This window comes from Homo sapiens, chromosome 9 (assembly GCF_000001405.40).
Source record: "Homo sapiens chromosome 9, GRCh38.p14 Primary Assembly".
In the NCBI taxonomy this organism is placed as follows: Eukaryota; Metazoa; Chordata; class Mammalia; order Primates; family Hominidae; genus Homo; species Homo sapiens.
Genome location: NC_000009.12, coordinates 44,619,205 through 44,635,921, shown reverse-complemented (window position 1 = coordinate 44,635,921; position 16,717 = coordinate 44,619,205). Strand labels below are relative to the sequence as shown.

Below are 16,717 nucleotides of genomic sequence, written 5' to 3'. Positions count from 1 at the left end.
TACTTTTTATATGTAATCCCGTTTCCAAAGAATTCCTCAAAGCTATCCAAATATCCACTTTCGGATTCCACAAAAAGAGTGTTTCAAAACTACTCTGTAAAAAGAAAGGTTCATCTCTGTTAGTTGAATACACACATCACAAACAAGTTTCTGAGAATGCTTCTGTCTAGTTTTTATGGGAAGATATTTCCTTTTTCATCATAGGCCTCAAAGCGCTGCAAATGTCCACTTCCAAATATTACAAAAAGAGTGTTTCAAACCTGCTGTATGAAGGGAAGTGTTCAACTCTATGAGTTGAATGCAAACATCACAGAGAAGCTTCTGAGAATGCTTCTGTCTTGATTTTATATGAAGATATTCCCGTTTCCAACGAAACCTTCAAAGCTATCCAAATATCCACTTGCAGATTCTACAAAAAGAGTGGTTCCAAAATGTTGTATCAAAAGCAAAGGTTCAACTCTGTTAGTTGAGGACACACATCGCAAATAAGTTTCTGAGAATGCTTCTGTCTAGTTTTTATTTGAAGATATTTCCTTTCTCACCATAGGCCTGAAAGCGTTTGAAATGTCCGTTTGCAGATACTACAGAAAGAGTGTTTCAAACATGCTCTATGAAAGGGAATGTTCAGTTCTGTGACGTGAATGCAAACATCACAAAGAAGTTCCTGAGAATGCTTCTCTCTAGATTTTATATGTAATCCCGTTTCCAACGAAATCCTCAAAGCTATCCAAATATCCACTTTCAGATTCCACAAAAAGAGTGTTTCAAAACTGCTCTGTAAAAAGAAAGGTTCATCTCTGTTAGTTGAATACACACATCACAAACAAGTTTCTGAGAATGCTTCTGTCTAGTTTTTATGGAAAGATATTTCCTTTTTCATCATAGGCCTCAAAGCGCTGCAAATGTCCACTTCCAGGTAGTGCAGAAAGAGTGTCTGAAACCTGGTATATAACAGGGAAGATTCTACTCTGTGACTTGAATGAAAACATCACAAAGCAGTTTCTGAGAATGCTTCCGTCTAGATTTTATATGAAGATATTCCCGTTTCCAACGAAACCTTCAAAGCTATCCGAATATCCACCTGCAGATTCTACAAAAAGAGTGTTTCCAAAATGCCGTATCAAAACAAAGGTTCAACTCTGTTAGTTGAGAACACACATGGCAAATAAGTTTCTGAGAATGCTTCTGTCTAGTTTTTACTTGAAGATATTTCCTTTGTCACCATAGGCCTGAAAGCGCTTGAAACGTCAGCTTGCAGATACTACAGAAAGAGTGTTTCAAACCTGCTCTATGAAAGGGAATGTTCAGTCCTGTGACTAGAAGGCAAACATCACAAAGAAGTTCCTGAGAATGCTTCTCTCTAGGTTTTATATGTAATCCCGTTTCCAACGAAATCCTCAAAGCTATCCAAATATCCACTTTCAGATTCCACAAAAAGAGTGTTTCAAAACTGCTCTGTAAAAAGAAAGGTTCATCTCTGTTAGTTGAATACACACATCACAAACAAGTTTCTGAGAATGCTTCTGTCTAGTTTTTATGGGAAGATATTACCTTTTTCATCATAGGCCTCAAAGCGCTGCAAATGTCCACTTCCAAATATTACAAAAAGAGTGTTTCAAACCTGCTGTATGAAGGGAAGTGTTCAACTCTATGAGTTGAATGCAAACATCACAGAGAAGTTTCTGAGAATGCTTCTGTCTTGATTTCATATGAAGATATTCCCGTTTCCAACGAAACCTTCAAAGCTATCCAAATATCCACTTGCAGATTCTACAAAAAGAGTGTTTCCAAAATGTTGTATCAAAAGAAAGGTTCAACTCTGTTAGTTGAGGACACACATCGCAAATAAGTTTCTGAGAATGCTTCTGTCTAGTTTTTATTTGAAGATATTTCCTTTCTCACCACAGGCCTGAAAGCGCTTAAAACGTCCGCTTGCAGATACTACAGAAAGAGTGTTTCAAACATGCTCTATGAAAGGGAATGTTCAGTTCTGTGACTTGAATGCAAACATCACAAAGAAGTTCCTGAGAATGCTTCTCTCTAGATTTTATATGTAATCCCGTTTCCAACGAAATCCTCAAAGCTATCCAAATATCCACTTTCAGATTCCACAAAAAGAGTGTTTCAAAACTGCTCTGTAAAAAGAAAGGTTCATCTCTGTTAGTTTAATACACACATCACAAACAAGTTTCTGAGAATGCTTCTGTCTAGTTTTTATGGGAAGATATTTCCTTTTTCATCATAGGCCTCAAAGCGCTGCAAATGTCCACTTCCAGGTAGTGCAGAAAGAGTGTCTGAAACCTGGTATATAACAGGGAAGATTCTACTCTGTGACTTGAATGAAAACATCACAAAGCAGTTTCTGAGAATGCTTCCGTCAAGATTTTATATGAAGATATTCCCGTTTCCAACGAAACCTTCAGAGCTATCCGAATATCCACCTGCAGATTCTACAAAAAGAGTGTTTCCAAAATGCCGTATCAAAACAAAGGTTCAACTCTGTTAGTTGAGAACACACATGGCAAATAAGTTTCTGAGAATGCTTCTGTCTAGTTTTTACTTGAAGATATTTCCTTTCTCACCATAGGCCTGAAAGCGCTTGAAACGTCAGCTTGCAGATACTACAGAAAGAGTGTTTCAAACCTGCTCTATGAAAGGGAATGTTCAGTCCTGTGACTTGAAGGCAAACATCACAAAGAAGTTCCTGAGAATGCTTCTCTCTAGGTTTTATATGTAATCCCGTTTCCAACGAAATCCTCAAAGCTATCCAAATATCCACTTTCAGATTCCACAAAAAGAGTGTTTCAAAACTGCTCTGTAAAAAGAAAGGTTCATCTCTGTTAGTTGAATACACACATCACAAACAAGTTTCTGAGAATGCTTCTGTCTAGTTTTTATGGGAAGATATTTCCTTTTTCAACGTAGGCCTCAAAGCGCTCCAAATGTCCACTTCCAGGTAGTGCAGAAAGAGTGTTTCAAACCTGCTCTATAAAAGGGAATATTCAACTCTGTGACTTGAATGCAAACATCACAAAGCACTTTCTGAGAATGCTTCCGTCTAGATTTTATATGAAGATATTCCCGTTTCCAAGGAAATCTTCCTAGCTATCTAAATATCAACTTGCAGATTCTACTAAAGGAATGTTTCCAAAATGCTGTATCCACACAAAGGTTCAACTCTGTTAATTGAGGACATACAGCACAAAGAAGTTTCTGAGAATGCTTCTGTCTAGTTTTTATTTGAAGATATTTCCTTTCTCACCATACGCCTGAAAGCGTTTGAAATGTCCGTTTGCAGATACTACAGAAAGAGTGTTTCAAACATGCTCTATGAAAGGGAATGTTCAGTTCTGTGACGTGAATGCAAACATCACAAAGAAGTTCCTGAGAATGCTTCTCTCTAGATTTTATATGTAATCCCGTTTCCAACGAAATCCTCAAAGCTATCCAAATATCCACTTTCAGATTCCACAAAAAGAGTGTTTCAAAACTGCTCTGTAAAAAGAAAGGTTCATCTCTGTTAGTTGAATACACACATCACAAACAAGTTTCTGAGAATGCTTCTGTCTAGTTTTTATGGGAAGATATTACCTTTTTCATCATAGGCCTCAAAGCGCTGCAAATGTCCACTTCCAAATATTACAAAAAGAGTGTTTCAAACCTGCTGTATGAAGGGAAGTGTTCAACTCTATGAGTTGAATGCAAACATCACAGAGAAGTTTCTGAGAATGCTTCTGTCTTGATTTTATATGAAGATATTCCCGTTTCCAACGAAACCTTCAAAGCTATTCAAATATCCACTTTCAGATTCCACAAAAAGAGTGTTTCAAAACTGCTCTGTAAAAAGAAAGGTTCATCTCTGTTAGTTGAATACACACATCACAAACAAGTTTCTGAGAATGCTTCTGTCTAGTTTTTATTTGAAGATATTTCCTTTCTCACCATAGGCCTGAAAGCGTTTGAAATGTCCGTTTGCAGATACTACAGAAAGAGTGTTTCAAACATGCTCTATGAAAGGGAATGTTCAGTTCTGTGACGTGAATGCAAACATCACAAAGAAGTTCCTGAGAATGCTTCTCCCTAGATTTTATAAGTAATCCCGTTTCCAACGAAATCCTCAAAGCTATCCAAATATCCACTTTCAGATTCCACAAAAAGAGTGTTTCAAAACTGCTCTGTAAAAAGAAAGATTCATCTCTGTTAGTTGAATACACACATCACAAACAAGTTTCTGAGAATGCTTCTGTCTAGTTTTTATGGGAAGATATTTCCTTTTTCAACATAGGCCTCAAAGCGCTCCAAACGTCCACTTCCAGGTAGTGCAGAAAGAGTGTCTCAAACCTGGTATATAAAAGGGAACATTCTACTCTGTGACTTGAATGAAAACATCACAAAGCAGTTTCTGAGAATGCTTCCGTCTAGATTTTATATGAAGATATTCCCGTTTCCAACGAAACCTTCAAAGCTATCCGAATATCCACCTGCAGATTCTACAAAAAGAGTGTTTCCAAAATGCCGTATCAAAACAAAGGTTCAACTCTGTTAGTTGAGAACACACATGGCAAATAAGTTTCTGAGAATGCTTCTGTCTAGTTTTTATTTGAAGATATTTCCTTTCTCACCATAGGCCTGAAAGCGTTTGAAATCTCCGTTTGCAGATACTACAGAAAGAGTGTTTCAAACATGCTCTATGAAAGGGAATGTTCAGTTCTGTGACGTGAATGCAAACATCACAAAGAAGTTCCTGAGAATGCTTCTCTCTAGGTTTTATATGTAATCCCGTTTCCAACGAAATCCTCAAAGCTATCCATATATCCACTTTCAGATTCCACAAAAAGAGTGTTTCAAAACTGCTCTGTAAAAAGAAAGGTTCATCTCTGTTAGTTGAATACACACATCACAAACAAGTTTCTGAGAATACTTCTGTCTGGTTTTTAGGAGAAGATATTTCCTTTTTCAACATAGGCCTCAAAGCGCTGCAAATGTCCACTTCCAAATATTAGAAAAAGAGTGTTTCAAACCTGCTGTATGAAGGGAAGTGTTCAACTCTATGAGTTGAATGCAAACATCACAGAGAAGTTTCTGAGAATGCTTCTGTCTTGATTTCATATGAAGATATTCCCGTTTCCAACGAAACCTTCAAAGCTATCCAAATATCCACTTGCAGATTCTACAAAAAGAGTGTTTCCAAAATGTTGTATCAAAAGAAAGGTTCAACTCTGTTAGTTGAGGACACACATCGCAAATACGTTTCTGAGAATGCTTCTGTCTAGTTTTTATTTGAAGATATTTCCTTTCTCACCACAGGCCTGAAAGCGCTTAAAACGTCCGCTTGCAGATACTACAGAAAGAGTGTTTCAAACCTGCTCTATGAAAGGGAATGTTCAGTTCTGTGACTTGAATGCAAACATCACAAAGAAGTTCCTGAGAATGCTTCTCTCTAGATTTTATATGTAATCCCGTTTCCAACGAAATCCTCAAAGCTATCCAAATATCCACTTTCAGATTCCACAAAAAGAGTGTTTCAAAACTGCTCTGTAAAAAGAATGGTTCATCTCTGTTAGTTGAATACACACATCACAAACAAGTTTCTGAGAATGCTTCTGTCTAGTTTTTATGGGAAGATATTTCCTTTTTCATCATAGGCCTCAAAGCGCTGCAAATGTCCACTTCCAGGTAGTGCAGAAAGAGTGTCTCAAACCTGGTATATAACAGGGAACATTCTACTCTGTGACTTGAATGAAAACATCACAAAGCAGTTTCTGAGAATGCTTCCGTCTAGATTTTATATGAAGATATTCCCGTTTCCAACGAAACCTTCAAAGCTATCCGAATATCCACCTGCAGATTCTACAAAAAGAGTGTTTCCAAAATGCCATATCAAAACAAAGGTTCAACTCTGTTAGTTGAGAACACACATCGCAAATAAGTTTCTGAGAATGCTTCTGTCTAGTTTTTATTTGAAGATATTTCCTTTCTCACCATAGGCCTGAAAGCGTTTGAAATGTCCGTTTGCAGATACTACAGAAAGAGTGTTTCAAACATGCTCTATGAAAGGGAATGTTCAGTTCTGTGACTTGAATGCAAACATCACAAAGAAGTTCCTGAGAATGCTTCTCCCTAGATTTTATATGTAATCCCGTTTCCAACGAAATCCTCAAAGCTATCCAAATATCCACTTTCAGATTCCACAAAAAGAGTGTTTCAAAACTGCTCTGTAAAAAGAAAGGTTCATCTCTGTTAGTTGAATACACACATCACAAACAAGTTTCTGAGAATGCTTCTGTCTAGTTTCTATGGGAAGATATTTCCTTTTTCAACATAGGCCTCAAAGCGCTCCAAATGTCCACTTCCAGGTAGTGCACAGAGTGTTTCAAACCTGCTCTATAAAAGGGAACATTCTACTCTGTGACTTGAATGAAGACATCACAAAGCAGTTTCTGAGAATGCTTCCGTCTAGATTTTATATGAAGATATTCCCGTTTCCAAGGAAATCTTCCTAGCTATCTAAATATCAACTTGCAGATTCTACTAAAGGAATGTTTCCAAAATGCTGTATCCACACAAAGGTTCAACTCTGTTAATTGAGGACATACAGCACAAAGAAGTTTCTGAGAATGCTTCTGTCTAGTTTTTATTTGAAGATATTTCCTTTCTTACCATAGGCCTGAAAGCCCTTGAAATGTCCGTTTGCAGATACTACAGAAAGAGTTTTTCAAACATGCTCTATGAAAGGGAATGTTCAGTTCTTTGACGTGAATGCAAACATCACAAAGAAGTTCCTGAGAATGCTTCTCTCTAGATTTTATATGTAATCCCGTTTCCAACGAAACCTTCAAAGCTATCCAAATATCCACTTGCAGATTCTACAAAAACAGTGTTTCCAAAATGTTGTATCAAAACAAAGGTTCAACTCTGTTAGTTGAGGACACACATCGCAAATAAGTTTCTGAGAATGCTTCTGTCTAGTTTTTATTTGAAGATATTTCCTTTCTTACCATAGGCCTGAAAGCGCTTGAAATGTCCGTTTGCAGATACTACAGAAAGAGTGTTTCAAACATGCTCTATGAAAGGGAATGTTCAGTTCTGTGACGTGAATGCAAACATCACAAAGAAGTTCCTGAGAATGTTTCTCTCTAGATTTTATATGTAATCCCGTTTCCAACGAAATCCTCAAAGCTATCCAAATATCCACTTTCAGATTCCACAAAAAGAGTGTTTCAAAACTGCTCTGTAAAAAGAAAGGTTCATCTCTGTTAGTTGAATACACACATCACAAACAAGTTTCTGAGAATGCTTCTGTCTAGTTTTTATGGGAAGATATTTCCATTTTCAACATAGCCCTCAAAGCACTCCAAATGTCCACTTCCAGGTAGTGCAGAAAGAGTGTTTCAAACCGGCTCCATAAAAGCGAATATTGTACTCTGTGACTTGAATGCAAACATCACAAAGCACTTTCTTAGAATGCTTCCGTCTAGATTTTATATGAAGATATTCCCGTTTCCAACGAAACCTTCAAAGCTATCCGAATATCCACCTGCAGATTCTACAAAAAGAGTGTGTCCAAAATGCCGTATCAAAACAAATGTTCAACTCTGTTAGTTGAGAACACACATGGCAAATAAGTTTCTGAGAATGCTTCTGTCTAGTTTTTACTTGAAGATATTTCCTTTCTCACCATAGGCCTGAAAGCGCTTGAAACGTCAGCTTGCAGATACTACAGAAAGAGTGTTTCAAACCTGCTCTATGAAAGGGAATGTTCAGTCCTGTGACTTGAAGGCAAACATCAAAAAGAAGTTCCTGAGAATGCTTCTCTCTAGGTTTTATATGTAATCCCGTTTCCAACGAAATCCTCAAAGCTATCCAAATATCCACTTTCAGATTCCACAAAAAGAGTGTTTCAAAACTGCTCTGTAAAAAGAAAGGTTCATCTCTGTTAGTTGAATACACACATCACAAACAAGTTTCTGAGAATGCTTCTGTCTAGTTTTTATGGGAAGATATTTCCTTTTTCATCATAGGCCTCAAAGCGCTCCAAATGTCCACTTCCATGTAGTGCAGAAAGAGTGTCTCAAACCTGGTATATAAAAGGGAACATTCTACTCTGTGACTTGAATGAAAACATTACAAAGCAGTTTCTGAGAATGCTTCCGTCTAGATTTTATATGAAGATATTCCCGATTCCAACGAAACCTTCAAAGCTATCCGAATATCCACCTGCAGATTCTACAAAAAGAGTGTTTCCAAAATGCCGTATCAAAACAAAGGTTCAACTCTGTTAGTTGAGAACACACATAGCAAATAAGTTTCTGAGAATGCTTCTGTCTAGTTTTTACTTGAAGATATTTCCTTTCTCACCATAGGCCTGAAAGCGCTTGAAACGTCAGCTTGCAGATACTACAGAAAGAGTGTTTCAAACCTGCTCTATGAAAGGGAATGTTCAGTTCTGTGACTTGAATGCAAACATCACAAAGAAGTTCCTGAGAATGCTTCTCCCTAGATTTTATATGTAATCCCGTTTCCAACGAAATCCGCAAAGCTATCCAAATATCCACTTTCAGATTCCACAAAAAGAGTGTTTCAAAACTACTCTGTAAAAAGAAAGGTTCATCTCTGTTAGTTGAATACACACATCAGAAACAAGTTTACTGAGAATGCTTCTGTCTAGTTTTTATGGGAAGATATTTCCTTTTTCAACATAGGCCTCAAAGCGCTCCAAATGTCCACTTCCAGGTAGTGCAGAAAGAGTGTTTCAAACCTGCTCTATAAAAGGGAATATTCAAGTCTGTGACTTGAATGCAAACATCACAAAGCACTTTCTGAGAATGCTTCCGTCTAGATTTTATATGAAGATATTCCCGTTTCCAAGGAAATCTTCCTAGCTATCTAAATATCAACTTGCAGATTCTACTAAAGGAATGTTTCCAAAATGCTGTATCCACACAAAGGTTCAACTCTGTTAATTGAGGACATACAGCACAAAGAAGTGTCTGAGAATGCTTCTGTGTAGATTTTATATAAAGATATCCCGTTTCCAAAGAAATCCTCAAAGGTATCCAAATATCTACTTCCAGATTCTACAAAAAGACTGTTTCAAAACGGCTCTGTCAAAAGTAAGGTTCAACTCTGTCACATGAGTAAACACATCACAAGGAAGTTTCTGAGAATGCTTCTGTCTGGTTTTTAGGAGAAGATATTTCCTTTTTCAACATAGGCCTCAAAGCGCTGCAAATGTCCACTTCCAAATATTTCAAAAAGAGTGTTTCAAACCTGCTCTATGAAGGGAAGTGTTCACCTCTATGAGTTGAATGCAAACATCACAGAGAAGTTTCTGAGAATGCTTCTGTCTTGATTTTATATGAAGATATTCCCGTTTCCAAAGAAACCTTCAAAGCTATCCAAGTATTCACCTGCAGATTCTCCCAAAAGAGTGTTTGCAAAATGTTGTATCAAAACAAAGGTCCTCTGTTAGTTGAGAACACACATCGCAAATAAGTTTCTGAGAATGCTTCTGTCTAGTTTTTATTTGAAGATATTTCCTTTTTCACCACAGGCCTGAAAGCGCTTGAAACGTCCACTTGCAGATACTACAGAAAGAGTGTTTCAAACCTGCTCTATGAAAGGGAATGTTCAGTTCTGTGACTTGAATGCAAACATCAGAAAGAAGTTCCTGAGAATGCTTCTCCCTAGATTTTATATGTAATCCCGTTTCCAACGAAATCCTCAAAGCTATCCAAATATCCACTTTCAGATTCCACAAAAAGAGTGTTTCAAAACTGCTCTGTAAAAAGAAAGGTTCATCTCTGTTAGTTGAATACACACATCACAAACAAGTTTCTGAGAATGCTTCTGTCTAGTTTTTATGGGAAGATATTTCCTTTTTCAACATAGGCCTCAAAGCGCTGCAAATGTCCACTTCCAAATATTACAAAAAGAGTGTTTCAAACCTGCTGTATGAAGGGAAGTGTTCAACTCTATGAGTTGAATGCAAACATCACAGAGAAGTTTCTGAGAATGCTTCTGTGTTGATTTTATATGAAGATATTCCCGTTTCCAACGAAACCTTCAAAGCTATCCAAATATCCACCTGCACATCCTACAAAAAGAGTGTTTCCAAAATGCTGTATCAAAACAAAGGTTCAACTCTGTTAGTTGAGAACACACATCGCAAATAAGTTTCTGAGAATGCTTCTGTCTAATTTTTATTTGAAGATATTTCCTTTTTCACCACAGGCCTTAAAGCGCTTGAAACGTCCACTTGCAGATACTACAGAAAGAGTGTTTCAAACCTACTCTATGAAAGGGAATGTTCAGTTCTGTGACTTGAATGCAAACATCACACAGAAGTTCCTGAGAATGCTTCTCCCTAGATTTTATATGTAATCCCGTTTCCAATGAAATCCTCAAAGCTATCCAAATATCCACTTTCAGATTCCACAAAAAGAGTGTTTCCAAACTGCTCTGTAAAAAGAAAGGTTCATCTCTGATAGTTGAATAAACACATCACAAACAAGTTTCTGAGAATGCTTCTGTCTAGTTTTTATGGGAAGATATTACCTTTTTCATCATAGGCCTCAAAGCGCTGCAAATGTCCACTTCCAAATATTACAAAAAGAGTGTTTCAAACCTGCTGTATGAAGGGAAGTGTTCAACTCTATGAGTTGAATGCAAACATCACAGAGAAGTTTCTGAGAATGCTTCTGTCTTGATTTTATATGAAGATATTCCCGTTTCCAACGAAATCTTCAAAGCTATCCAAATATCCACTTGCAGATTCCACAAAAAGAGTGTTTCCAAAATGTTGTATCAAAAGAAAGGTTCAACTCTGTTAGTTGAGGACACACATCGCAAATAAGTTTCTGAGAATGCTTCTGTCTAGTTTTTATTTGAAGATATTTCCTTTCTCACCATAGGCCTGAAAGCGTTTGAAATGTCCGTTTGCAGATACTACAGAAAGAGTGTTTCAAACATGCTCTATGAAAGAGAATGTTCAGTTCTGTGACGTGAATGCAAACATCACAAAGAAGTTCCTGAGAATGCTTCTCTCTAGGTTTTATATGTAATCCCGTTTCCAACGAAATTCCTCAAAGCTATCCAAATATCCACTTTCAGATTCCACAAAAAGAGTGTTTCAAAACTGCTCTGTAAAAAGAAAGGTTCATCTCTGTTAGTTGAATACACACATCACAAACAAGTTTCTGAGAATGCTTCTGTCTAGTTTTTATGGGAAGATATTTCCTTTTTCAACATTGGCCTCAAAGCGCTCCAAACGTCCACTTCCGGGTAGTGCAGAAAGAGTGTCTCAAACCTGGTATATAACAGGGAACATTCAACTCTGTGACTTGAATGAAAACATCACAAAGCAGTTTCTGAGAATGCTTCCTTCTAGATTTTATATGAAGATATTCCCGTTTCCAAGGAAATCTTCCTAGGTATCTAAATATCAACTTGCAGATTCTACTAAAGGAATGTTTCCAAAATGCTGTATCCACACAAAGGTTCAACTCTGTTAATTGAGGACATACAGCACAAAGAAGTTTCTGAGAATGCTTCTGTCTAGTTTTTACTTGAAGATATTTCCTTTCTCACCATAGGCCTGAAAGCGCTTGAAACGTCAGCTTGCAGATACTACAGAAAGAGTGTTTCAAACCTGCTCTATGAAAGGGAATGTTCAGTTCTGTGACTTGAATGCAAACATTACAAAGAAGTTCCTGAGAATGCTTCTGTCTAGATTTTATATGAAGATATCCCGTGTCCAACGAAATCCTCAAAGGTATCAAAATATCCACTTGCAGATTCTACAAAAAGAGTGCTTCAAAACTGCTCTGTCAAAAGGAAGGTTCAACTCTGTTACTTGAGTACACACATCACAAGGAAGTTTCTGAGAATGCTTCCTGTCTGGTTTTTAGGAGAAGATATTTCCTTTTTCAACATAGGCCTCAAAGCGCTGCAAATGTCCACTTCCAAATATTAGAAAAAGAGTGTTTCAAACCTGCTGTATGAAGGGAAGTGTTCAACTCTATGAGTTGAATGCAAACATCACAGAGAAGTTTCTGAGAATGCTTCTGTCTTGATTTTATATGAAGATATTCCCGTTTCCAACGAAACCTTCAAAGCTATCCAAATATCCACTTGCAGATTCTACAAAAAGAGTGTTTCCAAAATGTTGTATCCAAACAAAGCTTCAACTCTTTTAGTTGAGAACACACATCGCAAATAAGTTTCTGAGAATGCCTCTGTCTAGTTTTTATTTGAAGATATTTCCTTTTTCACCACAGGCCTGAAAGCGCTTGAAACGTCTGCTTGCAGATACTACAGAAAGAGTGTTTCAAACCTGCTCTATGAAAGGGAATGTTCAGTTCTGTGACTTGAATGCAAACATCACAAAGAAGTTCCTGAGAATGCTTCTCCCTAGATTTTATATGTAATCCCGTTTCCAACGAAATCCGCAAAGCTATCCAAATATCCACTTTCAGATTCCACAAAAAGAGTGTTTCAAAACTGCTCTGTAAAAAGAAAGGTTCATCTCTGTTAGTTGAATACACACATCACAAACAAGTTTCTGAGAATGCTTCTGTCTAGTTTTTATGGGAAGATATTACCTTTTTCATCATAGGCCTCAAAGCGCTGCAAATGTCCACTTCCAAATATTACAAAAAGAGTGTTTCAAACCTGCTGTATGAAGGGAAGTGTTCAACTCTATGAGTTGAATGCAAACATCACAGAGAAGTTTCTGAGAATGCTTCTGTCTTATTTTTATATGAAGATATTCCCGTTTCCAACGAAACCTTCAAAGCTATCCAAATATCCACTTGCAGATTCTACAAAAAGAGTGTTTCCAAAATGTTGTCTCAAAAGAAAGGTTCAACTCTGTTAGTTGAGGACACACATCGCAAATAAGTTTCTGAGAATGCTTCAGTCTAGTTTTTATTTGAAGATATTTCCTTTCTCACCATAGGCCTGAAAGCGTTTGAAATGTCCGTTTGCAGATACTACAGAAAGAGTGTTTCAAACATGCTCTATGAAAGGGAATGTTCAGTTCTGTGACGTGAATGCAAACATCACGAAGAAGTTCCTGAGAATGCTTCTCTCTAGATTTTATATGTAATCCCGTTTCCAACGAAATCCTCAAAGCTATCCAAATATCCACTTTCAGATTCCACAAAAAGAGTGTTTCAAAACTGCTCTGTAAAAAGAAAGGTTCATCTCTGTTAGTTGAATACACACATCACAAACAAGTTTCTGAGAATGCTTCTGTCTAGTTTTTATGGGAAGATATTTCCTTTTTTATCATAGGCCTCAAAGCGCTCCAAATGTCCACTTCCAGATAGTGCAGAAAGAGTGTCTCAAACCTGGTATATAAAAGGGAACATTCTACTCTGTGACTTCAATGAAAACATCACAAAGCAGTTTCTGAGAATGCTTCCGTCTAGATTTTATATGAAGATATTCCCGTTTCCAAGGAAATCTTCCTAGCTATCTAAATATCAACTTGCAGATTCTACTAAAGGAATTTTTCCAAAATGCTGTATCCACACAAAGGTTCAACTCTGTTAATTAAGGACATACAGCACAAAGAAGTTTCTGAGAATGCTTCTGTCTAGATTTTATATGAAGATATCCCGTGTCTAACGAAATCCTCAAAGGTATCAAAATATCCACTTGCAGATTCTACAAAAAGAGTGCTTCACAACTGCTCTGTCAAAATGAAGATCCACCTCTGTTACTTGAGTACACACATCACAAGAAATATTCTGAGAATGCTTCTGTCTGGTTTTTAGGAGAAGATATCTCCTTTTTCACCATAGGCTTCAAAGCGCAGCCAATGTCCACTTCCAAATATTACAAAAAGAGAATTTCAAACCAGCTCTATGAAAGGAAGTGTTCAACTCTATGAGTTGAATGCAAACATCACAGAGAAGTTTCTGAGAATGCTTCTGTCTAGTTTTTATGGGAAGATATTTCCTTTTTCAACATAGGCCTCAAAGCGCTCCAAACGTCCACTTCCAGGTAGTGCAGAAAGAGTGTCTCAAACCTGGTATATAACAGGGAACATTCTACTCTGTGACTTGAATGAAAACATCACAAAGCAGTTTCTGAGAATGCTTCCGTCTAGATTTTATATGAAGATATTCCCGTTTCCAACGAAACCTTCAAAGCTATCCGAATATCCACCTGCAGATTCTACAAAAAGAGTGTTTCCAAAATGCCGTATCAAAACAAAGGTTCAACTCTGTTAGTTGAGAACACACATGGCAAATAAGTTTCTGAGAATGCTTCTGTCTAGTTTTTATTTGAAGATATTTCCTTTCTCACCATAGGCCTGAAAGCGTTTGAAACGTCAGCTTGCAGATACTACAGAAAGAGTGTTTCAAACCTGCTCTATGAAAGGGAATGTTCAGTCTTGTGACTTGAAGGCAAACATCACAAAGAAGTTCCTGAGAATGCTTCTCTCTAGGTTTTATATGTAATCCCGTTTCCAACGAAATCCTCAAAGCTATCCAAATATCCACTTTCAGATTCCACAAAAAGAGTGTTTCAAAACTGCTCTGTAAAAAGAAAGGTTCATCTCTGTTAGTTGAATACACACATCACAAACAAGTTTCTGAGAATGCTTCTGTCCAGTTTTTATGGGAACATATTTCCTTTTTCAACATAGGCCTCAAAGCGCTCCAAATGTCCACTTCCAGGTAGTGCAGAAAGAGTGTTTCAAACCTGCTCTATAAAAGGGAATATTCAACTCTGTGACTTGAATGCAAACATCACAAAGCACTTTCTGAGAATGCTTCCGTCTAGATTTTATATGAAGATATTCCCGTTTCCAAGGAAATCTTCCTAGCTATCTAAATATCAACTTGCAGATTCTACTAAAGGAATGTTTCCAAAATGCTGTATCCACACAAAGGTTCAACTCTGTTAATTGAGGACATACAGCACAAAGAAGTTTCTGAGAATGCTTCTGTCTAGTTTTTATTTGAAGATATTTCCTTTTTCACCACAGGCCTGAAAGCGCTTGAAACGTCCGCTTGCAGATACTACAGAAAGAGAGTTTCAAAGCTGCTCTATGAAAGGGAATGTTCAGTTCTGTGACTTGAATGCAAACATCACAAAGAAGATCCTGAGAATGCTTCTGTCTAGATTTTATATGAAGATATCCCGTGTCTAACGAAATCCTCAAAGGTATCAAAATATCCACTTGCAGATTCTACAAAAAGAGTGCTTCAAAACTGCTCTGTCAAAATGAAGGTTCAACTCTGTTACTTGAGTACACACATCACAAGAAAGATTCTGAGAATGCTTCCGTCTAGTTTTTATGGGAAGATATTTCCTTTTTCATCATAGGCCTCAAAGCGCTCCAAATGTCCACTTCCAGATAGTGCAGAAAGAGTGTCTCAAACCTGGTATATAAAAGGGAACATTCTACTCTGTGACTTCAATGAAAACATCACAAACCAGTTTCTGAGAATGCTTCCGTCTAGATTTTATATGAAGATATTCCCGTTTCCAACGAAACCTTCAAAGCTATCCGAATATCCACCTGCAGATTCTACAAAAAGAGTGTTTCCAAAATGCCGTTTCAAAATAAAGGTTCAACTCTGTTAGTTGAGAACACACATGGCAAATAAGTTTCTGAGAATGCTTCTGTCTAGTTTTTACTTGAAGATATTTCCTTTCTCACCATAGGCCTGAAAGCTCTTGAAACGTCCGCTTGCAGATACTACAGAAAGAGTGTTTCAAACATGCTCTATGAAAGGGAATGTTCAGTTCTGTGACTTGAATGCAAACATCACAAAGAAGTTCCTGAGAATGCTTCCGTCTAGATTTTATATGAAGATATCCCGTTTCCAAAGAAATCCTCAAAGGTATCCAAATATCTACTTCCAGATTCTACAACAAGACTGTTTCAAAACGGCTCTGTCAAAAGTAAGGTTCAACTCTGTTACTTGAGTACACACATCACAAGGAAGTTTCTGAGAATGCTTCTGTCTGGTTTTTAGGAGAAGATATTTCCTTTTTCAACATAGGCCTCAAAGCGCTGCAAATGTCCACTTCAAAATATTACAAAAAGAGTGTTTCAAACCTGCTCTATGAAGGGAAGTGTTCAACTCTATGAGTTGAATGCAAACATCACAGAGAAGTTTCTGAGAATGCTTCTGTCTTGATTTTATATGAAGATATTCCCGTTTCCAACGAAACCTTCAAAGCTATCCAAATATCCACTTGCAGATTCTACAACAAGAGTGTTTCCAAAATGTTGTATCAAAACAAAGGTTCAACTCTGTTAGTTGAGGACACACATCGCAAATAAGTTTCTGAGAATGCTTCTGTCTAGTTTTTATTTGAAGATATTTCCTTTCTTACCATAGGCCTGAAAGCGCTTGAAATGTCCGTTTGCAGATACTACAGAAAGAGTGTTTCAAACATGCTCTATGAAAGGGAATGTTCAGTTCTGTGACTTGAATGCAAACATCACAAAAAAGTTCCTGAGAATGCTTCTCTCTAGATTTTATATGTAATCCCGTTTCCAACGAAATCCTCAAAGCTATCCAAATATCCACTCTCAGATTCCACAAAAAGAGTGTTTCAAAACTGCTCTGTAAAAAGAAAGGTTCATCTCTGTTAGTTGAATACACACATCACAAACAAGTTTCCTGAGAATGCTTCTGTCTAGTTTTTATGGGAAGATATTACCTTTTTCATCATAGGCCTCAAAGCG

General features: G+C 37.2%; 1 annotated feature.

Annotated features, from left to right (window-relative positions):
• Nucleotides 1-16,717: part of a centromere (Linear centromere model derived predominantly from reads generated in PMID: 17803354. This region does not represent an actual centromere sequence, as long-range ordering of repeats and unmapped WGS contigs is not provided by the model. For details of model production, see http://arxiv.org/abs/1307.0035.) that runs on past both edges of the window.